Below are 27,381 nucleotides of genomic sequence, written 5' to 3' on the forward strand. Positions count from 1 at the left end.
CTCCTGGCATTGGATAGTTTTTCCCAGAGCAGTGGCAGATGTCCCTGAGCCGTGTCTGTTTTCTCTCTGTGACTTCTTAACTGCATGCATTTTTAAGGTGGCCGATTTGAGAAAAGACATGTGATCCCAAAGAAAGGTTTTTTGTTTTTTTCTTTGCAGAGCCAACTAGCTCTTGCTTGGCTTTCTAGATCAAGAATAAAATATAATCAGTATGACACAAATAGATTTGATGGTTGTTCTATGCTGTCTTGGTCACTCATTTATAAGAAATTGTTGAAAGGGTATATATTAAACCAATATTCTCTTCAACTTTTTCCTTTTCACAAATGATTTTCTGGGTCAACTAAGTTTGCATAAATGCAAACTTCTGGAGTGAAATTCAGGTTTAATATATTCTACATGAGGGCAGCAGGCAGCTGATGAGCAAGTTGTTCTTATTCTGTGTACCTTGATAGGATTCAACTTTGGCCCAGATGAGGGGAATTTGTTTTTCCATGCAGGGCACTCTCATGAGAGTTTCAGAAAAACAATATGCTCTTGTCAGAACAGTATGCAGTTCTTCTAAAACTGGGGCTGAACTACATTTTACCCTTTAAAGGTCAGGAGATATTATTATGCAGCAAATTTAGCCTATGATTTATCTTAAAAAGGAACCATCACATATAACCCTCACAAGATCTGGGTAACGTTAAAAATGAGAATAAATTTCAATAACAGTACGAATAATAGCTCCTCCTGTGTATAAGAGATGGCACTCAGCACTGTCGCTTATTTACTCTCCACAACAAGCCCACAGGCAGGCATTAGTTTTTCAGTTTTAAGATCAAGAAACAGAATTTTATTCTTCATCTACCTTGCACTCACGGCATCGTTTTCACCACTGGTTACCTCTCTGACATTTTCCTATGTCGACTTTTCTTTCCACTTTCAGATCATCCCTTTGTAGCCTTAGATCAAACTAATTCGTTCTTTGACCCGAAATGTTGGTTTTACTGAAAATTCTCTCCTTCAGGCCTCTTCTTTCCTGTCCTTGATAATCTCGTATGATCTTAGGGTATCTAATGGTACTGACCTTAATTGCTTTCAAGCCAGGCATCTCCCTTTCCTCATGTGCCTGGTCGTCTTCTATTACATAATAAGTGCGGGCCAGATATCTGACCTGCATATTCTGCCAGGGTCCCAAATAATATCCACCACTAGATTCAACATAATTCTGCCAAAACAAACTTTCCCTCTTGACATCACTAATTCTGTTAATGGCACCAATGTTCTCCAAGTCAAAACCTGAAGTCATTTTGACAGCTTTTGTCCCTTACCTCCTAGAGTCATAGAGTCACCAACTCCTGTGGCATCTCTCCAGAAACATTTGCAACTATCTTTCCAAGAGCCGAGACTCAAATGACAATAACTGTTACACTCATATAGCTCTTTAAAATAAAGCAAGCTCCCACAGATACTATTTCTTATAATTTCCATACTAACCTCACAGATACAAAAACTGAGGTTTCAGAAACGTATGAGTTTTGTTACACAGTGTAGAAGCAAAGTGGGGACTTGATCCCAGGTCTTCTGATTCCTGTTTTCCAGGTGTAATAGTCCAACAACTGCCTGTACCTTCATGCATGAGGCACAGCTGCCTCAGACACAGTTTTTCCACTCCTCCAATGCAGCTTATGTAATCACTAATAGTGACTGTCTAATAATCATTGTTAAATGACATCTTTTTTAAAACACAGATCTGATCACATCACTCTGAGCTCAAAAGTCTGTCAGTAACTTCTTAGACTGAAAAATGTTCAAATCACTTAACCTGGCACTCTCCAGTTTGTTTCCAACACCATTTTGAAACATTGCTTCCCATATCCTCCCATACTACAGCCAAGCTGAACTATTCTCAGTGTTTTTGTTTTGTTTTGTTTTTGAGACAGGGACTCACTCTGTCACCCAGGCTGGAGGGCAGTGGTGCACATTAGACTCCAGCCTGGGCGACAGAGTGAGAGACCTGGACTACAGGTGCGTGTCACCATGCCCGGCTAATTTCTGTATTTTTTGTAGAGACAGAGTTTTGCCATGTTGCAGGCTGGCCTCAAACTCCTGAGGCTCAACCCATCCTCTTGCGTAGGCCTCCCAAAGTGCTGGGATTACAGGAGTGAGCCACTGCACCTGGCCCTACTCTTAGTGTTTCAAATATGCTTGAAGCATTTGCCTGCATTCCTCTGCTCAGGCCATGTCCCCTGGACTGTCTTCTCTGCCTTTGAAAATGCTGACTGTTCTTTCTTTTATTCATTAATTAACACCAAAGCATTGATGGAGCAATAGTGTATCAGGGACTGGGCTAGGTATGGAAAAAAGTGGGTGAATAAGGCAGGAAGGATCCATTTCTCAAAGGGCTTAGGATTCGCTGGAAGCATTAAGTTTCAGGACAAATGCCATACTCTCCACAAAATAACCCGTTCCTGATACCCTCAGCAGGAAGTGAGGACTTTCTCTTCTCAACAGCCATAGTACAGTGAGGAAACGTCGATTATAGGATTTACCATAATCTGATTTAATTACAGTTATTGAGGCATATGTCTTATCTCTCATGCTATAAGCTCCATTTTTGATAGGGACTCTAAGAAGCTCCCTATTTAGTCCTCACAGCATGTAGTGCAGGATTTCTCATTTAATAAGACCTCAATAAACAATATTGGAATAAATAATTTCTCTCAGCTTCTGTGAGTATGAGGTTGGGGAGAGACTGCCGCATGCCCCATTCACACACAAACAGCAGAGGACACAGTGAGCACTCACTACTCCCACACACGCTCACCAGATGGTGAACATAACATTATTTTAGGCAACAGAACTGTCAGCTGACATCCAGGGTCCCATGATACTTGCCTCCATCCATTTAAAGAGACGTTTGAGACAGAAACCAACCCAAGATTTCTGGATATCAGAGTGCAAATCTGTTCAGAGAGCACATTTTTCTGTGTCAATAAACAGAGAGCAGGATTAACATCTCCTCCATAGCCTGCTTTTCTGACCTCAGAACTAGGAGGACGCTATATTCCTGACCATGATTTGGGACTGAATTTTTTCTTTAAGAATTAACACAAGTCACATACAGTTATATTTACTTTTTTTTGGTGTACAGGTCTGAGTTTCGATAAATGCTTCTGTGTAACCACCACCACAATCAAGACAGAATAATTTCCACTGCTCCCCACCAAGAAATTTCCCTTCATGACACTTTGTAGTCAAACTCTCCTCACCTTTAATGCAGACCTCTTTCTCCACCTGCATAGTTTTGTGTTCTCCAGAATGTCACATAAATATAAAAGCACCTAGCTGTTTCAGTCTGGCTTCTTTAATTAGCATAATGTACTTGACGTTCATCCCTGTTGTTGTGCATATCAATACTTTGTTCCTTTTTATTTCTGGACATTGTTTCACTGCATGAATGTGCCACTGTTTGTTTATTCCTTTACTAGTTGAGGGACATTTGAGTTATTTCCCATTTTTGGAGATTATGAATAAAGCCACTATAAATAAGTTTTTATGTTATCATAGGTTTTCTCATCACTTAGCTAAATAGGAGTGGTCATATGGTAAGTGAACATTTAACTTTATAAGAAACTGCCAAAATATTTTCCATGGTGTCTCTACTATATTTTGTATTCTCACTAGTAACATAGTAGCGTTCCAGTTGCTTCATATCCTTACCAACACTTGGTACTGTCAGGGCTTTTTTTTTTTTTTTTTTCTCTACTGTTCTTAGTATATAGTGTGGGATGGAATTTTAACATTTCATCTTTTTAGAACCAAAATATTTCTATTTTGATACTCAGCCCACATTCAGTTTTTCCTCCTTTCCCTTCATTTGGTTCTTTGTATTAGCTCTCCCACTAGACTAAAGGTTTCTTTGTGGGTAAGGAAAAACTCTTAGTCATCTTTGTGTACATGAAGCTCTGCCACCCCATCCCAAGTGCAGGGATTTGCAAATAACACATGCTACTTAAATAAATGCTTCTATGTGATCAGATTAGATTATTAGATTAACACATACAGTGACATAATTAATACATCCAAAGGCTAATCTAGTATTGGCTAATTTTGTCAATTGTGGAACACCAAAAGAATTTTAATAAAACTATATACTTTCTTCCCTTTTCATGAATTTTTCCATTTTCATGTATATGTCTGAAAAAACAGATTTCTGTTTTCTTGCTTTACCAAGGGCTAAATTGGAAAATATATTTGGGATTGTGAAATATTTGTGTAATAAATTTCTTGTGCTTATACAAAAGACAAGATTGTTATTACTGGTACTTAAGTAAGAAATTAAGAATTATTAATTAATTAACTTCACAAATTAGATCACATATATTTCAATGTGTTTTTTAGGTCAGAGAGAAGAAATTGGAATTACAGAGGGGACCTGATCTGTACATACTATTTGTCAAGTGAGTTGGGGCAAAAAAGAGGTTGAGGGTCACTGATAAAGACTCAAAGAATCTTGAAAATGGAAAGGTTCTCAGAAGACACAGAGGCCAACCTCCATTTAAATGCTATAGCCATTTATTGATGGTTATAGCATCTGGCTTCCACCATTGGTAAACTCACCACTTCATACAGCACCAATTACACATGCTTACAAGCAAGAGACTCAAAACAAAACAATAAATAAAAGAAACATGGGGGAGGCAACTTCTTAACTGAACTTTCATTTTTCTGTAACATTATATTATATAAACCTTCTGTAGCACCTACAGAAATCTAAAAATAGAGATTAGAATCTATTGTGGCAGAAAATAAGTTTGTCACTACATCAACCAGCCACATGGGAGTTAATCTCATTAACTTTTATATTGTAGGATGATGCATACCTTGGAGAGATGAGTTCAGTGGTAAATGACATGAATCTTGGAATTTCTTTACATTAATATCTACTTCTTCTGAAACTTCAGTTTTTGAATGGAATTAAACCAACAAGTTCTAGTTGTGTATAGAAGAAAATTTGCATAAGTCTATAGAAGTCTATATAAGAAAACTTCTTAAACATAGTTCATGAGCAGCATGGATTAGTTATCCTTCAGCTGGAAGGTTTCTTGGAGAACTTAAAAGCAAGGGACTTCCTGCAGAAATGACTGCAAACATTTCTCCTTTTATGGGCTAGCATCCTCTATGGTGGTTTTGTACCACTGTCTTAGATCTGATGGAAACTCATTCCCAGAATTCCCTTTCCTAAATCGTTCTTCATTCCAGTTGGCTACAAAGGAAATTTGTGTGACCTTTGGAAGGTAAAAGTGAAACAGCAGCATTCTGCTCTGAAGGTCAGTGTAGTCAACAAGTGCAGCTCACTGACCTCCCAGATCACCTTGTCCATGGCAGGCAGCAGCCAGGCTGCCGGACATTTGGCTCCCCACAGATCTCCTCTTTTGGTTTCTGGGCCAGGTGCACGAATGGCTTTGCAGTGAAGAGTGCCAGTCCCTTTCGGGCTGTTCAAGTCAGGGTCATTGAGGCTGGAGAAGTATGAGTCAAATACAAGTTCCAGTTTATCTTTATGGGTTTCATTTTCTCCTGCAGGTTCTCCCTTGCTCAGCTCTACTTCAAATCTAGGTTTTCTTCCCAGTTGCCAGCTCTGCTAACCTATGATGACTTTAGCTCCATACCAGATGTGACGTGAAAGCGACTGCAAAGCTCCCACAATTGTTCAAGGTCTAAAACTGAAAATAAATCCATTATTCCATATTACCATAGTGGTTCTGCTTTTCTAAGTGATAGGGATTCCATTAAATCTTTTCTATTCAGAATATGTACTTGGTTACAAATATTCTTTAGTGCATGCCTTTCTTTTTTAAAATTTATGATATTGTCAAAAGAAATAGTACTAATGTACTGAGCCTAAGTATGTTATTTTATTCTCCCTTGTTTTGGGGATAGGGACTTGGAATATGCTCTTTTACACAATTCCTCTCAAAACTGGTAAGCCGAGGAATTGGGAGTCTGCTCCATAACCAGAGAATACAGAAAAACTAACAATTAATTTGAACTTCGGCATAATAATGAGTTAAAGACTACTTGAGTGAATTAGCTGCTTCTTCGAAATTTGTTTTAATGTGACACTTGGAAAGTTATGTCACTCATGATGAAATCTAAACATTAAAATTTTGAAAACAGGCTGGGCATGGTGGCTCACATTTGTAATCTCAGCACTTTGGGAGGCAAAGGTGGGAGAATCAGCTGAGCCCAGGAGTTTAAGACCAGCCTGGGTGACAAAATGAGACCCAACTCCTCTAAGAAAGAAAATTGAAACCAATTTCAGTTAATCAATTTTTATCATACTGTATGTGCATTGAGAATAAATAAATACTGCCATGAAGCACTTCGACCTTTTTACTTAAATTCCTAATGTTTTACATAATTTCTGAAGATTTTATGGTCTTTAAAGGCAGGGATGCATCTTCTCATTTTTACATCCTCCCATACTGGCACACAGATAAGTCCTTATTAAACATCAATTGAACTAAGTAAAGAACACATTTCAGCTTCCTGTTTTTTACAAAAAAGAAAAGAGCAGCAGGGTATGAGCAAACAACCACAACCAACTACATCCTCTGATGCTTTTCTCACTGTTATATAGAAACTCCAGCAGGAAACCACTGCTATATCCTTTTCACCACTATAGCAAAATCTTATGAATTACTGGCAAGCATAAAACAGCTCCATTGACATCACATAAACGTTTGTGACAATTTATACTCACCACACTCAAGTGCTTTAAAACATCTTAACAAAGTTTCTCAAGGACAAATTCCCAAGGAAAAATAATCATATACTTTAACCATGTGTTTGGAGTTTAATTATATGAAAAAGCAATAAGCACTATTGAAACTTGGTGCACCTCTCAATGTAGCTGATGTTTACAAAAAGCTCAAAAAACTGACAAGTGTTAAAATTCCTCATATGACTCAGACTTATAAAGATTTCTAACAGACCAAAGATGTATTAACGACTACTCCAAAACACGAAAGTACTAATTTTTTCCCTTTGTATTCAAAACGACCCAAGAATTAGACATTTCTAGCTAGGAAATGTAGACCCCCCTTTTTTCCATTCTCACACATTATGCACTTATATTTACAGCAACACACATTTTAAATTTGTAACGTGAGCCTTGATAATGCATTTTATCAATGAAGGGGTCTTCCATTGAATATCTCTTATTTGTCCAAGATCTACAAAGACAAGATGATGGCAGAAGTCCAGGCCTTTCATTCAAGGGCTTTAACTTCAATGTGAAACACAGACAAATATATTCATTTTACACAGAAGTCAGAGGTCTAGAACTCTGTAGCTTTCTTGCATGCCCACATTACCTAGTCCATAAGCTCTCCATAGGGCGTAGGGCTAAATGACTACATGCGTAAATGAATGAAGGCATACATGCTTGGTGATGATGAAGAGGGGGAGATAACAAGGGCCCGTTTGGGTTCCAACAAAGGCAGAATGGGCCTAAAATTCAGAAAATAAGCCTGTGAATGAAGAAGAAAACAAGCAAGATTTAAAAAAAAACAAGTGGTGGGGCATCAGAGCTAGAATTGCTCTTAGGGATTTCTGGACCAGCCCTCTCATTTCTAGAGAGGACCTGAGGTGCTGTGGGCAATGACATGCCTTCATGTTCCACTTTCAGGGACTGTGACATTTGTGTACCCATTTCATGATTTTAGCCTCATGTGCTTCCTATCTAAACCATTTTTTTTAACTCAATATTTTTCATTAAATTGACTTTAACTGGTGCACTGGTTGAAAACATTAGCCTTGCCCTAAAAAATAACATCTGTGAAATTACAGGTTTGATGTACTTGTTATATTATTTTTTGTAGCATATATTTTTAAAAATATACTTTGAAATGTGTTCTGAACATATTTCTACATTTAAATAAATTTATAAGTATTAAAATCCAAAGCAAATCTGTATACTACGTAAGATCCTCTCACAGGTCACTGCTGGAAATCTGCAGTCTGAAAAGCAGTGCTCTCTACTGTGTTACCTCCGGGAACAAAGAGTTTGAATTCTGAAATGACATGAGGTGGTAAAGACATTCCAGAGTGATAAAAAGGGTCCAGTAATAAGACTAATGCCTCTAGGTGATTTCTGTCCATTTTCTTTTACTAGAAAAAAAAATCAATTGCTAATTAAGGAACTAAAAAAATAAGGCAGAAATCACGGCTTTTTTCAGTTATTGGATTTTCACCTTCCAAATGGACAGACAGGTATATTCATCCTCCTACCGAGTACCATTAATTCATTAGAACTACAGTTTTAAGAAGGAATTTGTCTGAAATAGGCCTCCTGTGCATGGATTACCTTTTTTTTTCTTAGTATTCCATTTGCAATGAGAACACTTAGCTGTAAGCTGTAATAAGGAATTGCTTAACTTTCATAAGTAAATGAATGTCTATGATTAAAACATCAATCACGGAAACACTAGTTCTATAAATAGTTTCTAGGTCCAAAGTCCATAGGCAGTTAAATAAAGACACATGTTTGTTTTTTCTTGTTTGTGTGTGTGTGTGTGCATATGTATGTGTGTGGGTGTGCACACACATGTGACATAAGAAACACATTTGGTTTTTCTTTTGAGAAACAAAGAAATGTTATTTGCTGAACATATGTGTTACCTGGTATTTTGATAAAATTTATGTTTGCCAATGTTATCACCTATGCAATGATCTATAAAATTTTAACCTAAAATATCTGTCCTTGAACTCACCCTGTGTTTTTTTAAATGTCTTATTGCTCATTTAGAAGCTTTCACATTTGCTTTTTAAGCAACACAAGATGAAATCCAAGATAGAAGACAGAAGTCCATAAAATCGTACTGAGTCCTTACATTTTGACCCACTGTGATTTGCATCACCAACAGAGTCCTGCAGTGTAGCATAGTGGTGAAGCTCATGGCCTTTGACATTGAACAACTGAATTCACACAGCTCCATTACCATCTGTGGGACTTTGGGCAAGTTATGCTATCTATTTCCTCATCTCTAGAATGGGGAATTATTAATGTGTTATTATTTAGTAGTACAAACCTCAGAGATTTCTTTAAAGGAGAAGTGGTTTTAGCAAGACGTCACTGGCAGATAAGCCTGAAGAATAAAATTTTTAAGGATTTATACATATCTGTAATCTAGCCTTCACTCATTTCCTTTGGAAAGTAGATGGATATATATGGAGACATGTATTAGGGTTCTCTTATGCTCTAGAATCAAGATGGCAAAGTGCCTCAAGTGTTTTTTTGTTTTGTTTTGTTTTGTTTTGTTTCTTGTTCATTCTTTAATGAATTTTAAACCCTCTTCCCGCATGTGTTTAGTTGGTCTTTCATTCTTTTCCACTCATCATCATTAATTCTATAATTGAGGCTCCATCTCTTTTCTTTTATTTCCCCTACACCACCAGTCTCTGCGCTCCAAGGCAAAGGAGGTTCTCCTCCCAGTCAGGGCAAATACACAGAGATGGAATCACTTACTAGGCATTTCAGAGGCATGAATTACCACTTAAACTTCCAAGGTTGAAGCCCTGGAGAGGGAGACCAATGGAGAGTGGTGAGCACCTCCTCAGAATAAAAAGATAGCCAGAAGGCATGGGATATTTCACAGAGCAGCTACATAAATAGCTGGGTATTTACAGTCCCATTGGAATGGGTACATTCCCCAATAATGATCTGACTCAAGATCATTCCCCAAGGGTGGAAGAGCTTCCTGAGAGTCTAAGCAATTATCTAAAACAGCGGCCCTTAAGCAGTCTTAAAATACACTTGTGTATCACAAACAATTTATGAGCAATGATAAAGTACCAATGACAGCAAATTATTTATTAAAGTATAATTTAGAGCTGTTTTCTCTAATGAATTATATTAACCTCAAAAATCAAGTTATTTCTATAATAATGTCACTCTCACTCATTTCACTGGCATGTGTGGATATTTTCTTAAATAGGAAAAAAATGGAAATGAAGTTACACTGAGGTTCTGGTATCCTCATGAGAAAGAAATTTCTCGTAGTACACATACCAGCAGACTCTTGTAAGAATTCTACATCTTATATCTGTTCCGTTTTTGTCACTTCTGCTACCCTCTGCTTCTTAGTTGTTTTTAGGAGAACTAAGTCAAAAATGCATGTGTCTGTGACTTTATTTTCTACAACATTAAGGAAGTGGAGTATGGGAAAGACATACAGTTTTCAAGTTAGCCTGGCAGGGAGGAAAGGAACCCAGGTGTGGCAAGCAGGTGGTGAAGCTGTGAAGAGGAACGGAAATGAAGCTGAATTGCTCAGCATACAGGAAGGAAGAAAGAGGTACAGGGCTGCTTGGTTAGGACAGAGGAGGGACCCAGGTTGTTAGGCTACCAGGGGAATTCTCTGAGATCATGACCAGGAAAAGAGCCCATTCTAATTTTGTTGAACTATATTTATTACTAAGCTTATTCCCGTTGTCTGGGAATTATTTGAGAGTTCAGACTATGTATTATTCAATTTTGAGTCCCTAGCACACAAAACAGGGTTTTACATACATACATATATATATATGTATATATATATATCTCAAGTGCTCGATACAGATTTATTAAATGATCCAAAGAATTCACCTTTCTTAAACCAGGGCCTTCTGCCAACTCCATTTCACATTCTATCTCTCACCTCCTAAATAAATTCCTATTTCCAGTTGGAGGAAAGCTTTGATTCAATTTGCAAAGTAGAAGGAGCTGACATGCTCTCAATCCAGTCCAGCTCAGGTTATTAACTTTTCCCCTCCCTCTCGGAGGCTCAGATTTCATCACTCAAAAGCCACAAACCCCAGAGGGAGGATTTTTTAAAAACCTATCATTATAGTTCTAAACATCAAAATAGCCACCAGGGGAATAGCAGAACAGTTTCTTCGTAAAAGAGCATAAACATTTCAGTGAACTAAATTTGTGTTTTAAATGGCACTTTCAGAAAAATAACTTTATCTCTAAAGACTTTTAACACCTATGGTCTTTTATATATTATCAACCCATTTCAGGTGACAGGACGCTTGATACTTAAACACAGCCACCATTCTATAAGGAAATGCCACTCTCTTCAAAGAAAGCATAGAGTCAATGTGGCACTGTGTCCTCTGTTAGTTTCGATTGGTACTATTCTCGGCACTGTCTTCTCGGAGTGAAGCTGTTGAAACACCGACACTTTAGGATTAATAATTAGATGAGGGGATGTTTTTAGAAATAAAGTAGGAGGCACGAAGTGGGGGTGGTATGCAGCAAGTGTGCATGAGGAAGGAAAGTGGCAGGAGAAGTTGACAAGGCATGAGAGATTTCAGAGCGCTATGAAGACAGCTTTCCCTACCGAAGAGATCTGTCTGAGTTTTCCATCTTGTTGCCCCAAAAGGGCATTTGTCTTTATTTGCAACATGAATAAATCAACCCTGATGCAGTCACCTCATTTTTTAGCCATAGTAACGGAGCAGTTCTACACAATCAAGTGGCCAGACTGTGCAGTGATCTGCCTAGCCTCAGAGAGGGGTTGCAAACACAGCCTACTGTAATCATTAACTGAGCATTTCCAGGCTATACAGAAACACAAGCTGGGATACGAGTTGATACTACTCCTGAAAGTTTATCTCAACTGCCAGGCCTGCTAAATAAAATGCAGCATCACTTGAAAGATTGAGATACACTCTGGACTTTCAGGAAGCTATGCAAGTTTGGTCTATGTGTAAAAAGTTATACATAAGATAAAGATATGGTGCATTTAAAAATACATAAAGCAATCCAATGTGAGATCTCAGTCATTGGTCTTTAAGGTAAAGAAAAAATAAATTACATTATTGTTAAAACTGCTAATATTTTTCATTTGCCACTTGTCGTACAGTAAAAAGCAAGCAAGTACACAGATGAAAAACTCCGTTATTCTTTAACAGACTACGTTAACTCAATTTTTATTCATTAAACTTTCACAGACTCTACAAATTTTGATACTGCAAAATTTTTAGACCCTCACCATGGTTAATGGGGGTTAACTATATTTGGCGCCATCACCTTTCTGCTTTGTAGACACATCAATTTCATGAGTACAGTCATAGCATTTTGGAGCTCAATGGTACTTAGGGAACACCTAAGTAGTCCAGACTTTACAGACTCAATACCTACAGGTTTGGGGTAGTAACACAACTAAGTGAAGCTGTTGGGCACAAGTGACTTATATAAATGCTCAATGTCAGTGAGACATTGAGAAGTGGGGACTACAGCGAAGTAATGAAGTAGCATATATATTGCTGTTCAGCTCCAGCCTAGAGAATGTGGGTGAGGGCTTCATTTTTTATAATAGATCTGATGTTTAAACACTGGCTTAATTAAAAAATAAATACCTGGAGGCCACAGTTTTCCTGCTAGGCCCACAGACTGCCAGTTTTCAATTCTGATTTGGTACATATATCTCCAAATCTGAGGCCCAGACAGGTAAAGTGAAGAGTACCAGGTCTCTCAGATGCTCACAGCAAAGCTTTCTTCTGCTCTGAGAATCCACTTGGGTAGACAATCCCTCATATGAAAGGAGACTGTAAGTGCATTTTCACTCACTTAATCAGAGCTCAGCCCCTTACCCTGACAATGATAGACTTCTGCTCTCTGACTGTTTTCAGAACATGTTCGACATGAAAACAAGAACAATCACCCATACCCACTTTGTCATAAGCAATTTTTACCCAACCAAGGATGCAGGTGAAAATGAACATGCATTTACTAACTTTAGCTCTGACTAAAATTTTTACTGGAATTTAAAATTCTTAATTTTAATTAACAATTACAATTTTAGCTGCTTCATTTTTACCTGCATTTTTCAAGGAGAAATACCTTATAGAAAAATTCAAAGAAAGGCATGCTTAATTAACAATATGACTAAGTATAAATTTAAGAATCATGCTATGTATAAAATAAATTAGAAACAGGTCTTAAGAATTACAAAAGTTTTGCTGCAATCATGGAGCTTGAAACCATGCTTTGAGTGGATTGAGAAACTAATTTAGAGTGAAGGAATGAGCATTTCAAAGCGATGTAATGGCAAAGGCAAAGATCAAACTCCAAGAAAGTGGAACTCACAGTGAGTCAAATGTCTTTTGCATTTTTGAACAACAATTTTAAAAAAATGTATACTGAGAAAGCACATTCATATCACAGAGTCAAAAGGAAGAACTACAAGAAAAACTTCTATGTTATATTCAGCATATCTGTCCTGTACAGTCATAATTCAGAATAAAGACACAGAGGCAATGCAAAAGTTCAAATCTTGATAATATTTGCAGGCTAATTACATTTTAGAAAAACTGTCAACAAGAATTGAAACAAAAAATGCTCTGATTACTCAGAAAATATAGTTCACACAAACACTTCACTCCCTCAGGCATTTCATTAAACCAAAGTTATACATTATAAAGAAAGAGAAGAGTCTCCCATAGACACAATATGCTTATTTTAATTTTATGCTATTTAGAAATCAATAACAACTGATTTCTGAAAAACAATCAAGAATCTATTAACATAAAGCATCTGATTATTCTTCATAAACCAGATCTCCCACTTGGATGGACTATTTGCAATTCAAGTTTTAAAAAAATTCTCTGTAACTCTTTTTTCCTCCAGAAAATTAACAGATGCAAATGTGATTGTCAAAGGGGCTTTGGAGATATATCTCCGTCCTCCAGCTGTCCATTACTGAATTAGCAACAATGCTGAGGTCCCCAGAGATGCCTGACATTGTGAGTTTTTACTCTTCCAGCCTCCAGAATTTTTTTAAGGGTTCTCTTGCTTCTGTAAGTGTCACAAAGCTGTGAATCCTGACTAAACCAATCTTCTAGAGGTGGCTTGGTATCCACGCTATTTAGGATCCAAGAATTAAAAATTTTAAATGGAATCTGGTGTGTAAGGCCAAGAAATTGTCTTGTCTTAGATCACCCAGCTGATCCCCACGATATTTCTGCTACGCTAGACCCTTGGGACAGAGATGAGATCATGGCATTGTCATTTAGACAGACTTACTGAATTGACTCTCAATTTTGGAGGAAGGGGTGCACAGTAACTGATTCTCCTCCCTCACCATGGAGAAAACTCTTGGACATTGTCTTCAGGTCCTGGTCCTTTTTCCCTTAGCCAAGAATTACTGGGGAATTAGAAAGAGGAGTTCTGGATTTTTAGCTTCAGCTCTATTAGTGACTAGAAACAGTTATTAACTTCCTTGGGACTCATCTGTAATCATTTATTTCTTTGTAAATAAAGGCAATGGTTTCCAAATCTGGGTACTGGAATCCTTTTGGGACCTTTATAAAAATACAGATTTCTAAGCCCCACCTCCAGATTCAGATTCAGATTCAGATTAGGGTCATTTATAACTGCCTGGTAATAATAATTGGGGCCCCAGATTATGCTGCCAGCTTCAAAATAAAGCCAATAATTTAATTACCGACATGAACAATTAGAAAGCTGTTACTATGTTGCCAACTCCAATATGCCCAGTTAAAAAGCTGTGAAAACTTTTCTCACTGGCATTCAAGAGAGTACGTAATTTAAATTGTAAGAGTGTATACATTTTCTCCCTGAAATTCAGTAATTTCAGAATTTCAATCCAAATGCAGACTCTAAATGTTTTTGTTATTCCAGACTTGACTCTTACGTGCAAAAAGTTAGATTATCACTAATTTGAACACTCTGATATGGATAAGAAAGAGGTCCAAGTCATTTTTATTTTTTTAAAAAAAGCAAAGTTCCATATTTGGTTGCATTCCAAATCAACTAATTCAAGCAGATGAATCTCTGACTTAACTGGCCCTGGTCTTCTGTTTTAAGGTATAGCTTCATTTAAAAGGGTGAAAATATCACAAAATTGTTCTATTCCAGAGAAAAGACACCAAGAGCTGAATGAAGCCCACCAAGAAAATGTTCAGGAACACAAGTAAAGGTTTTCTTCTCTAACTTTGTCTCTTCAGAATAACTGTTAGGGTACAGCAAAACACAAGAATAAATTTTCTAGAAATGCATACAAACATATTTAAATATCTAACTAAGAAGATGGACAAGTCATAGAGCAACTGACGAAAAGAAAATATGGCAGATGCTGCCGTTCCTTTAGGAGTTCATGGCTACCAAGCGATCTGGTTCATCTTCACAGCCTGTCAGTTCCTCACATGACCACCTCGGCCTTCTGTGCCAACGACTGTAGTTGCATTCTGAGAAATGAAATAATCACGCCACAATGTGGTGTATCTCGTAATGTCAATAGTTCAACAGTAACATTCAACTGAACAAGGCCTAACCAGTAAATTACTGCAAAATAAATAAAAAGATGGCAGGAAATGGCAGATTTATGATGTTATGGCCACTCTGGCTAGATTTTCTTAAAGTAGCAGTATTAGGAAAATAGATCTTAGTCATAAAATAATTAACAACTCAAAAAAGGTCAAATATACAGAGCTAGAGAATAAAACAGTGATTACCAGGGTGAAGATGATCAGGGGAGGAAAAGGGGGCATCCAGGTCAAAGGATACAAAGTAGTAGATATAAAAGATGTATACGTTATTTGGTTCCACTACAGACACCGTCACCATTTTACATTTTATGTATATACATGTATACCATTATATATATTTATATATAAAAAATATAAAATATGTATATATGTGTATATATAAAAAATATATAAAATATGTATGTATGTATCTTATAACATCACGTTGTATACTTTAAATATACACAATGAAATTTATTTTTTTAAAAAGTAACTCATGTAATATTTCAGTCCAAGCAGAAATTCTACTGCAGTTCTCTTCCAACTTGATATTTATTTCTTCTTTTCTAAATGATTCTTAAATATAACTGCCATTACTTCCTCATTCTTTGCTTCCTCCTTCTATAGACATGAAATCAGCACCCCTTCCTCACTGCACATCCAGGTCCATCCATCTTTTATAAACTAACTCAAGATCCCCCTCCTCCTTGAAGCCTTTCCAGATTAATTCAGTCCCCAAGGATCTTGCTCTCTGACTTTACTGCCATGTACTCACTAAATTGTAAGTCTTGCCTTCCTCAATCAGGCAATTATGCTATTCAGAATATTGCGGAAAATGCTTGTCTATCAGATCTGTCAGATCTCTTGGTCGGCTCTTGGCATCTTGCAAACTGGGAACATCTCTTCTTTGTATCACTTAAAGCAGTAGCTTTCAGACTTTTTGGAAAATGATGTATAATGAGGTATACATTTTATATCACAGTCCATTATGCAGGCTTGCACACACACACACATACGTATATATATATTTAAGGAATTTCATGAACAATACTTACTCTTCTGTTTTAGTATTTTATTTTTCAAAAATAAAAATGCTGATCAGACTCACTAAACTGACTTCACAGTGTGCTAGTTTGAAAAGCACCATTCTTGAAGGGCACTTAATGATTACTATGGGATTACTGTAACTATTTCTCTCATTTAAAAAATAATTTTTAAAAATGTATGTGGCCTTTGGGGTCTGTTTAGCCTGTGTTCCTGAGTTACTTGTTTGTTCAGTCTGTTTTTTACACTATCATATGTTTGCCTTTTGGAGTCATCTAGGACAAATAAATACTTAGAATATACACTCTTTGTCATTCTTTTCCCCTGAGCCCTATTCTCATAAAAATAAGAATCCTTGAATTTTTATAACTCATTTCTACATAATTCAAACCTCTATTCCCTCATTCTCTCTCTTATTTTTCTAATATGCAAAGTAGGTGGTAGACATTTGTAGATGAAATATTTGAGCCAAAAATAATTAAGACTTTTCCCCCTTTAAGCAGCCTATTGTAAATTAAGGTAAATATAATTTCTAGATATTTGAAGAATATAAATTTGGGTAATCTGAATACCATAGATCCTCAAAATGAATGCATTCACCTAAATCACCCAGATAAAATGGTTTACTGACCAGATGAGTTGGCAGGCCTTTTGGACTTCAGTTTGTAGGTGGATCCTGCTGCCCTCTCCATTCTCGTCTTACCATCTTTATGTACTCACACTGTTTTTCAACCACCTGGAGCTATGTATTTTCCTTGGTCTCTGCTTATTTTGGTCCCCGTGCCAGGAATGTCCTTCCCTCTCTTCTTCACTGGGCTAGGTCCTCTCATCTTTCAGGTCCATGGGAAACTCTCCTTATTCTCTCCACCTCTACCCTGGCCTCCACAGCACCCTGTCAGGGCACTCCACCAGCGGTTGCTGGCAGTGTCCCTCCCAAGTTTTGCAGGCTGAGACTATGTCTTGTTTATTCTTCTATTCCACAATCTAGGACCATGTCCAGTCCAGGATTAAATATATGTTGAATATATCAACATATATTCATGAAAAAGTGAATGAATGAGTGCATAAAGGGCAGGAGCAGCTGCCAATGAAAGAGCTCAAATAAGAGCTGTGGCTAGAATCATGTGTCCTCCTTCTCTGAGCCCAACATTTTATAATTTTGTGATTCCAAGACCAATATTTCCGTGTTTCCTGCAAGCTGCAGATTTTGCAACTGGAAATTCAAACAGTGAAGGATAGCTGGATCTAAATATAGTCTTTTAAGTATGTTGAGGCATAATTAAGAAAATGTTGCAGGAACAAATAATTAAGCATATTGGGCAATTTTTTTGAGGCAATTAAAACACTCAAATTTCAAAACAGCTTGCTGGAATCCAGCCTGCCCTCCAATTGACACTGATCTGACTCATACAACGCCTCAGTCCTCTACTTCCCATGTGAAGCTGATGCACTTGTGATTTTGTCCTAATCATTTTCGTAGAAGTCTAGTTAGTGATTAGGTGAAGGCTCACCACACCACAACACACTGTACATGGCTCTCCATGAGTTCCTCTGCTGTTTCCAAAATAAATTTCAATCATATAACATCTAGGCCTGCAATTGCAATTGCTGTTTTTTTTTTCTCTTTTGAATCAATAACCTATTCCCTCGATTAAAGACACACAAAACTTGAAAAACTAAACACACACAAAAACTCGAAAAAGAACATTCTCTAACGCAAACTCCTGTCTTTTGCAGATAGCAGCAGAGATTTTCTGCTTTGGGCTGTGACTCATGTACCTTTATTCCCACAATTGTTACTCAGGGCAGGCCAATGGTGAGCACAATGGGAAAAGAAAGAATAGGTTATAACTGGAAAATAAGCACATTCGGGCGAAGTACACTCAAAGCATTATCAAAGTAAAATATGCAGCAGCACCAACAAGAGCAAACAAAAGCCCACGCAGGAGATGTGTAAATATTTCATGAAGCAAAGCCTTAATCAACCCTCTCTCCCAAATCTTGCTGGTGTTGTAAACACTTCAGTTTCTTCTAGTCCCACCATGACCCAGATACCTTGCAAAAACAAAATAAAAACATAGTCCAATGGATCTTTAAACAAATGTGTTGTGAAAATATTTAGATGGAGCATACCCAAGTACCGCTTTAACCAAGAGGAAGAAGACACCTTACTCAAAGGTGGGTGCTTCTTGAGTGACTGCTCAGAGCTCTGTTTCTCCCCTCCCCCTCCAAGCCCTTGCCTTTTGCCCACCTCCTCGGCTGCTTTGTGGACATTCACATCGTCTTAACCTTGAACTGCCTACACCCCAAGCGGTGATTTCTCCCAATGGCCCTCCAGAAAGCCCTTGAAACCTGGTCTGGATTCGATGCCTTCCCATCACCCAAAATTCACTTCCCAGTGGCATATTAAGTACCTCTCCTTTTTTCCCTCTTTCACTGTCCATTATTGCGTCTGAAATGATGCCTACATCGTTTCCATCTGCCTGGAGAGCATGAAGATCTTCTGTGTGTGTTGGCTGACAGGCTCCTTCAGACCTCTTCTAAAGCCCATCTTGAAAGAACCGTTTATCACCTCTAGTCTCTACCCTGATTTAATGTGGTTCCAAAGTTCGCCTCTATTAGTGAACATGTCTCTACAACGATTTCCCTTTATCAACCCCTGCCCGCCCTTCCTCTTCTTTCTGCCTACCTCAAGAAAACCTATTTACATATGCATTTATGTATGTGTGTGTATATACACACACATACATACATCCATATGTAATATATATTTCTATGTTTTGACCTTAAAGGGGATAAGCATAGGAAAATGAGACAAATGTCACACACACACACACACACACACACACACCCCTCATATTCGGATATTCGCAGTGTGCAGACCCGATTGATTATAAATTTCCCTGCCCACGATCAGCAGGCGTCTTCTCCCATTTACCTTCAAAGCCAGAGCCAAAGAGAGCAATGACCTTGCAGAGAAATTCATCACCTGCGAGAAAGACTGCCCCTCCTAGAGCGCAGGATGGGACAGAGACAAGAGCAACAGGCAAAGGATCCCTGTGCAAAATGTGGGACCGAATCCCTTCCGCATCCCTACAGAGCACACCACCAGGCTCCGGTCCCCCGCGCTGGCCGCCAGGCGGAGGTGCGCAGGGGGCGTCTCCTACCTGCTCTGCCCGGCTCCGCGGCGCGGCGGGGCCACTGCCTGCGCTGTGGCGGGGGCTTCCCGTCGCATATCCCAAGCACCGTCTCTCGGCGCCACACCGATGGCTCCGGCGGGCCCGCGAGCTGAGGTCCTTCTCAGCCCGGTCCCGGAGCGAGCTCCGTGCGTTCAGGAACTGAAATTACTATGCCAAGAGCAGAGGCGGCGCGCAGCAGTCGGGCGTAGACCGAGGGGGCTGCCCCCACCGCGGGGCTGCAGACGCCGCCGCCGCCCCCGCCGGGCGCAGAGCCAGTTTGGAGGTGAGAGTTCACTTGCCCGACTGTTCATCCGTCAGGCCCGGGGTGTACCCATCTGTCCAGCGCTGCCCAGCCTGAGCATCCGAGAGAGGGGCGACAGCTTTGCAGGCGGCGGCGGCGGCAGCAGCAGCGGCGGCAGCAGGAGGCCGAGCTCCGCCCCCTCCAAACCCCCTCCCCCGCCTTCCCGGTCCTGGGGGAAAGTGTTGCAGCCCAGGCTGCTGAGCGCCGGGCCGGGAGCTAGGAGGGGTCTGGTGGGTTGTGGTTCTGCACCCCTGGAGACCAGAGACAGATGGAAAGTTAAGAAGGGATTAAGGAAGAGGGCTGGGGACCCAGAGCGATTTAGCAGGCATTCTGGCCCTTGCTCCCTCCCACAGGTCACCAGACTCCATGGCTGAGTCTAGACTCTAGCAGAAGGTTTCCAATAAAGCCACGTGCAGTGGAGATCTGAAAGCAAGATCATCCGATAAGTAATATGTTTTGCAAAATGTACAGTATCCTGCGTATTCGGAGAGGCACTGCTGACAGTGTTCCTGTCCCCATCCCCTTCCCGCTACCCCATGGGCTTGGAGGGCTTTGAGGGCTTTGGAAATCTTCCCTGTTGAGCAGCTCCAGAATCCTGAATGGATGTGTAGTATGGTTAGCAGCTGTAGATGGTGCAAAATGATACGATGAAAAGAGCTTCATTATTAACTGGGTATTTGTTGGAAGGCTCTGTGAAAAATGCCTTACATACAGCCTCAGCCTCTTTAATTCTTACTACAACCCATTGAGGTGCCTTACCATGTGGACGAGGAAACAGGCTTATATGATCTAAACACTTTGCTTGAGGTCACACAGTAGTAACCTGCTCAGCTGGGATTCAAACCAATCCAAAATATATCCTCTCATCTAGTACACAGGACTCACCTAGGGGGTCTTGTTAAAATGCTGATTGTGATCCAATAGGTCTGGGGTAGGGACTGAGGAAACGCTTTTTTAGTTTTTTGTTGTTGTTGTTTTTTGTTTTTTGCTTCGTCTCCTAGGCTGGAGTGCAGTGGCGCGCTCTCGGCTCACTGCAAGCTCCGCTTCCCGGGGTCAAGCGATTCTCCTGCCTCAGCCTCCCAAGTAGCTGGGATTACAGGCGCCCACCACCACGCCCGGCTAATTTTTGTATTTTTAGTAGAGACAGGGTTTCTCCACGTTGGCCAGGCTGGTCTGGAACACCTGACCTCAGGTGATCCGCCCGCCTCGGCCTCCCAAAGTGCTGGAATTACAGGCGTGAGCCATGCCTGGCCCAGGATAGGCATTTCTAACAAGCTCCCAGGTAATGCCCATGCTACTGGCCAAAAGATCAAACTTTGCGGCACTATTCACAATAGCAAAGACTTGCAACCAACCCAAATGTCCGTCAATGATAGACTGGATTAGGAAAATGTGGCACATGTATACCATGGAATACTATGCAGCCACAAAAAAGGATGAGTTCATGTCCTTTGTAGGGACATGGATGAAGCTGGAAACCATCATTCTTAGCAAACTATCACAAGAACAAAAAAACAAACACCGCATGTTCTCACTCATAGATGGGAATTGAACAATGAGAACACATGGACATAGGAAGGGGAACATCACACACCGGGGCCTGTTGTGGGGTTGGGGGAGGGGGGAGAGATAGTATTAGCAGATATACCTAATGTAAATGAGAAGTTAATGAGTGCAGCACACCAACATGGCACATGTATACATATGTAACAAACCTGCACGTTGTGCACATGTACTCTAGAACTTAAAGTATTAAAAAAAAAAAAAAAAGATCAAACTTTCTAAGCCCCTAGATCAGGGATTTTAAATAAGTTTCTTCTTTTATGCCAGGTGTAGTTAATTGATAGCTGCTTCCTGAAGGTGGGTTAAGAAGGATTCTCTGGCTCTGTCTGGGTTCTCCGGCTAGCCATGTTCATTTTGGTTGAAGACGAAGGGAGCTGGGTCATCTTCCCTACACTAGGCCGCTTCTAAAAGGACATCTTTATGACAGGAGTGGTTGTGGCATAATATTTATGTCATCATAGTATTCATATCATAAATATGCTAAGCACAGATGTCTTTATTCCAGTTCTCCCTCTCATTAAGCAAACTAAGCCAAAGTTTTAGGCCTAACATTTGTATAGGATGAAACACTTTGCAAAGTGTTCATGTGAATAATTTTATTTGTCTTTATACAACACAGTAAGGCAGATATAATTTCACTCTACAGGAAAGGAAACTGAGATAGGGTGACTTTCCTGAGATTATACATTTAATATATTATATGTGTGGTAGGGACTAGGTTGTGACCTATCTCTAGTTCTGTCTAGGTCTGTTTGTACTATCTTACTGTATTCATTTCCTGTTGCTGCCAACAAAGTATCACCAACTGAATAAAATACAAATTTATTAGCTAACAGTTCTGGAAGTCAGACATCTGAAAATGGATCTTTTAGAGTTGAAATCAAAGGCCCGCAGGGGCTGTGCACTCTTTCTGGAGACTGAGGGGAATCACCTGTTCCCTCCTTGTCTTTTCTGGCTTCTAGAGGCTGCCTGCATTCCTTGGTTGGAGAACTCTAACCTCTACTTCTCTTGCCTCATCTCCTCCAACTCTGATCCTCCTGCATCCCTCCTGGAAGGACCCCTGTAATGACATGGGGTCCACCTGGATAACCCAGAGTAATCTCCCCATTTCAATGTTCTTAATCACATCTGTGAAGTCCCTTTGCCATGTAAGGTAATATATTCATAGGTCCCAGGGTGTAGATATCATTGGAGAGGGTCATTATTCTGCCTATCAAAACCACATTTAGTACTTATTCTGTAGTTTCTACTAGACCTTATTCATCCTTCTCCTCTGTTTCATTTCTCAGACTGCTGGGAAGTTTTTATAGCTTAAAAATTCACAGGGAAGTTATTCAAGAGACAACAATAACAAATCAGTATTGACAAGAAATACCTCAAAGTCATGAAAAAATCATGAAAAGGACACATTGGATTATGCTCATGAAAAAGACATATAAGATGTACAGCTGCTTTTGGTCTGACTGACACTGAGATGATCCTTGAGGGACATCCTAAATACAATTAAAGGACCTCTTTAGCAATACAAAGGTTTTAAAAATTCTGCTACTCAAACAGTACACAGTTCCGTGATGAATAAGGTGATTCAAAACTCATGCAGAATTGAGTACAACACCAAATTCTAAACAGGGTGATGGTTTTCAGAGTGATGATACACATTAAATCAGTCCATCAAACGAAATCAATAAATGCTATTGAATGCCTTTTGTACTCAAAGCATTTGTAGAAAGACTGATATACGGAAGTTTGTCATTTCATTGGGAACACAGAATTTATAAAAAATGAAATCACAAAGGATTTAAACAGAAGAAACAATAGAAGCAACTTGAGCTGGTATATTATTAATTGCCAAGTGAATTAGATGAAGTGAACATTTCATTTGCAAGTTAGGTTTATCCAGGAGAATGGAGACAAAACTAGAAATGTAGGTTGGAAGGTTGTGTTGTAAGGATCTTAAATGTCAAGCTAAGGAGTTTAGGCTTAATCCACAGTAATAACAATGGTAATAATACATTATGTTCACACAGTGCCAAGTAATTTACTAAGTGCTTTTTACTATTTTCAGTCATTTGACCTCCTCTTCTCTCCCCCTAGACAAGCAGGCCAGTGCACGTGGGAGTGCATACACACACACACACACACACACACACACACCCAATATGGGAAAGGAAATGCAAGCCTCTTATCAAAGAGACTTTCTTGACCATTCTATATAAATTAGTAGCTCCCCTCAACACTTACCTGGCATACTTTCCATCCCCCTTACCCTGCTTTATGGTTTTCTGTTGAACTTAGTACTACAGCTTGATTGGTATACATTTGCTTATTGTACATCTACCTTCAGTGGGATAGAGATCTTTGGCTCTTTTGTTCACTGCTGTATTTCTATTGCCTAAAACAGTGTCCAACACTTATTAAATGCTCAGTAAATATTTGTTACTGAATTGTTACTCTCAGTTTGCAAATTAGGGAACCCAAATCCCAGACATTTAAGTGAACCTTTACAATGTCCTACAGCTATTTAGTGGCTTTACCAAGACTAAGATCCAGTGTCCAGCCCAGTGCTTTTTGGACAGTGTGTTTCCTTTCCAAGTGAAAGTGTTAGTGGTGTTTAAACAGGAGCAGCAATGAATTTTAAAAATATAAGAATTTGAGACTAGAATCTTCTCTAAATGTCACATCTTTCCTAAAAACTTCATCAGTTTAACTGGATTGGCAAGAAGAATTGGCAGGACAGAGTTACCAACAGTGGATTCTGGAGGGCTGCCATTGGTTCTGTTATTTGGCACTGAGTAATACTGTAAGTTGCTTTGTAATTTTTTCAAGTTAATTTGTGTGTGCACATCTTGACACTTGGTATTACAGGCTTTCTGGGCACAGGGACCATCACTTTTAATTCCTTTATATCCCTGCCTTCTGCCCAGTACTGGACTCAAAATAGATTTGTTGCTGAATGACTACAAGAAGGCTGCCATCTTTCTAAAAATCATATCTTTACAAACTGCACACAAGGCCGGAAAAACAGAACCTCAGTGAAGACAACAGCTTTTATACATATATATTTATATTTTTTTTCATGCAGGAAAAATATATTTTCTAGAACTCATTGCTTTCCCTTGAGCCATTGGCCAGAATGTGGTCACTAGATCACTCAAGGAGGCTGTGGAAATAAGCATCTAGCATGCAGCCATGGTCTCATCTTGCTTTTCCTAGGCTAGACATCTTGCTGCCTCAATTAAAACTGAGCTTGTGTTGGTAAGAGAGAAGGAAGGCAGGTTGTAGGATCATCCCATAGCAGTGTCTTCCCCCAGAGAATCAGTGGAGAAACACTGAAGGCTAACATTAAGGTCCATTTTGATATTACCTGAGTGTGTCTGGATTTCTGGAAGATCATGGCAAGCATATAAGTCAGGCTCCTGTTTCTTCCCTCTTTTCTCCCTCCTGTGCTCCCTCCCTCACTCCTTCCTTCCTCTCTGCCTCCCTTCCCCACTTATTCCCTTTCTTCTTTCCTTCCTCCCCTTCTTCTCTCTCCACCCCTTTCTCTTTGTTACTAAATAAGGCTTCTCCAGCATCAATTTTTGGTCGTACTTAGTATTCCATTGTATGTTTAATCAATGCCCTATTGTTGAGTGTTTAGATTGTCTCCATCTGGAATACTCTTAACATAGGCTTGTTCGACTGATTGGATAATAGATACTCGAATCACTCCTTGTCCTACTGCCTCATCTTTTGCGGCTCCTAATTTTACATGTTCCATTCCTGCAATTATAGTTTTTATAACACACTAATATATTGTTCCACAACAACATGAATTCGTTATTTGTGCCCCACCCTAACTCCTCCTGAAATTCCCTTTCTTCATAGTCACTTGTGTTATTCAGGGTTCTGCGGAGAAACAGAACCACTAGGAGGTATATAGATATAATGAAAGAGAGGTATGATGTTGATGGCTCACGTGAATATGGAGGCTGCCATCTGTAAGTTGGAGGCCCAGGAAAGCTGGTGGTATAGTTCCAGTCCAAACCCAAAGGTCCAAGAACCAGGAGTACTGATGTCCAAAGCGAGGAGAAGATGGATGCCCCAGCTCAAGACAAGAGCACATTTGTCTTTCCACTGACTTTTTATTCTATTCAGGACATCAACTGATGAATGGAAACATAAAATGCGGTATGTATATATATACATAAATACACATATACATAAAATGCGGTATATATATATGTATATATATAATATTTGGCAAAAAAGTGAAATAATGATATTATATTAATATAATAATGATATTAATATATGCTCCAGTTTGAAAATGGACCACAGACATTTCTGTAAAGAAGACATAAAAATGGCCAATAAGCACATAAAGTGATGCTCAACATCATTAGCCATCAGAGAAATGCAAATCAAAACCATAATAAAGTTTATTAAAGTACCACCTTATACCCATTAAGATGTCTATTATCAAAAACCAGAAAATAGCAAGTGCTAGTGAGGATATGGGGAAACTGAACACTCACAAATTACTCATGGGCATGAAGAATGGTGAAGCTACTTTAGTTACCATATGACCAAGGAATTCAATCCTGAGTATATACCCTTGAGAAATGAAAACATATGTCCATACAAAAACTTCTATATAAATGTTCATGGCAACATTATAAGTGATATCCACACAGTATAACCAACTCAAATATTTACCAACTGATGGATGGATGGATAAGTAAAATGTCGCATATTTATAAAATGGAATTTTGTTCAGAAATAAAAGAAACAAAGTATTGATACATGCTACAGCATGGATGAACCTTGAAATCACTACACTAAGTTAAAAAAAAAGCCAGTCGCAAAAGACCACATACTGCAGAATTCCATTAATATAAAATATCCAGAATAGGCAGATCGATTGGACAGAAAGTAAATTAGTGTTTGCCTAGGGCAGTAAGGCTGGGGAAAAGAGGGAATGGGAGCTGACTTCTAATGGGTATGAGATTTTTTTGGGGTGATGAAATGTTCTAAAATTAGACTACGGTAATGGTTTCACAACCCTGTGGATGAACTAAAACAATGAATTGTACATATTAGAAGGGTGAATTGTATAGTATGTGAGTTATATCTCAATAAAGCTGCTTGAAAATATTATTTGAACAACTAGTTTAGCCTGAAAGAATACTTTTTAAGAATTCTTAACTACCATTACACTTAGGCTGAGCTTACTGAGCAACCTTTTAATCTCTAACTCAGTTTCCCTGGTGTATTACTTGATCAATGACACTTATCCTGCCAAAATGTCAACTTATATAAATAAATTGATTCTCTGGTTTTCGTGTCCTTCTCTTATAGGTTTTTCCAGTCCAAATAATTTTCCCAGAGTGTGATCACACTTGGAGTGAACTGATAGAATTGACTTTGGCAAACCACACAACTAAACACCTGGCCTGTGTTAATCTCACACAGGTACTACATCCCCAAGGGACCCTACCTAAAATAGCCCATGAGCCAACCAGTTGGCCTCTTGTTCTTTCTTCTTGACAAGTCTAATCTGCCATATATTAAATAGGTTATTATTTTTCCAATGCAGAACTATAAATATTTCTGGTAGAAACGTGGTATCACATAACAAGAGAAAAATAAAGCAAAATAAATTAAAACTAAAATATAGTTCTAGAACAATGCAAGAATAAACAGTGATTTGGCATTCAGCACCACCATTATATCAGTTAATGACTGAGTTAATGAATGAACTCATGTCATAAGCATAATGTTTATGGATTGATGAATGTGTTCAGTTTGCCCCAGATTGGTTAAGTTTGTCTGGTTATAATGAAATTGGACCACTCAATCAGTATGACTTGAATTATACTCTGCAAACGCGGTGCCTCCTAGATTGCAGAAGATGGAAAGTCTGATTTACCCAATAAATCTTCTAGAATGGTACCTCAAAGAAATTTGGAACCTCAAAAAAATGGTTCTCTATATCCTATTTTTTCTGTTGCT

The 27,381-nt window shown here is 38.9% G+C and overlaps 1 protein-coding gene across 8 annotated transcripts in view, besides 2 other annotated features; it reads right to left on the minus strand.

The window, feature by feature from the left end:
• The window catches only part of GPRIN3 (GPRIN family member 3), a 71,418-nt gene extending 51,718 nt beyond the window's left edge, over positions 1-19,700 (minus strand). The window contains exons 1-2 of one of the 8 annotated variants that reach the window (XM_047450091.1): positions 19,286-19,458; positions 4,872-5,711 (exon numbers count right to left, since the gene is read on the minus strand). The gene's annotated coding sequence lies outside the window, so the exon portion shown is untranslated. Of the gene's footprint in view, positions 1-4,871; positions 5,712-16,978; positions 18,971-19,285 lie in introns of those variants that run through there. The other 7 variants (XM_047450090.1, XM_047450089.1, NM_198281.3 and 4 more) reach the window with 7 other exon arrangements.
• Positions 19,650-19,699: a silencer, noted in NCBI's record as "silent region_15568". NCBI's record gives its function as "represses an Ori minimal core promoter by ATAC-STARR-seq in GM12878 lymphoblastoid cells {active_cell/tissue: GM12878}" and the evidence as "EXISTENCE:reporter gene assay evidence [ECO:0000049][PMID:35858748]".
• Positions 19,710-19,779: a silencer, noted in NCBI's record as "silent region_15569". NCBI's record gives its function as "represses an Ori minimal core promoter by ATAC-STARR-seq in GM12878 lymphoblastoid cells {active_cell/tissue: GM12878}" and the evidence as "EXISTENCE:reporter gene assay evidence [ECO:0000049][PMID:35858748]".

Source organism: Homo sapiens, chromosome 4 (assembly GCF_000001405.40).
Source record: "Homo sapiens chromosome 4, GRCh38.p14 Primary Assembly".
NCBI lineage: Eukaryota > Metazoa > Chordata > Mammalia > Primates > Hominidae > Homo > Homo sapiens.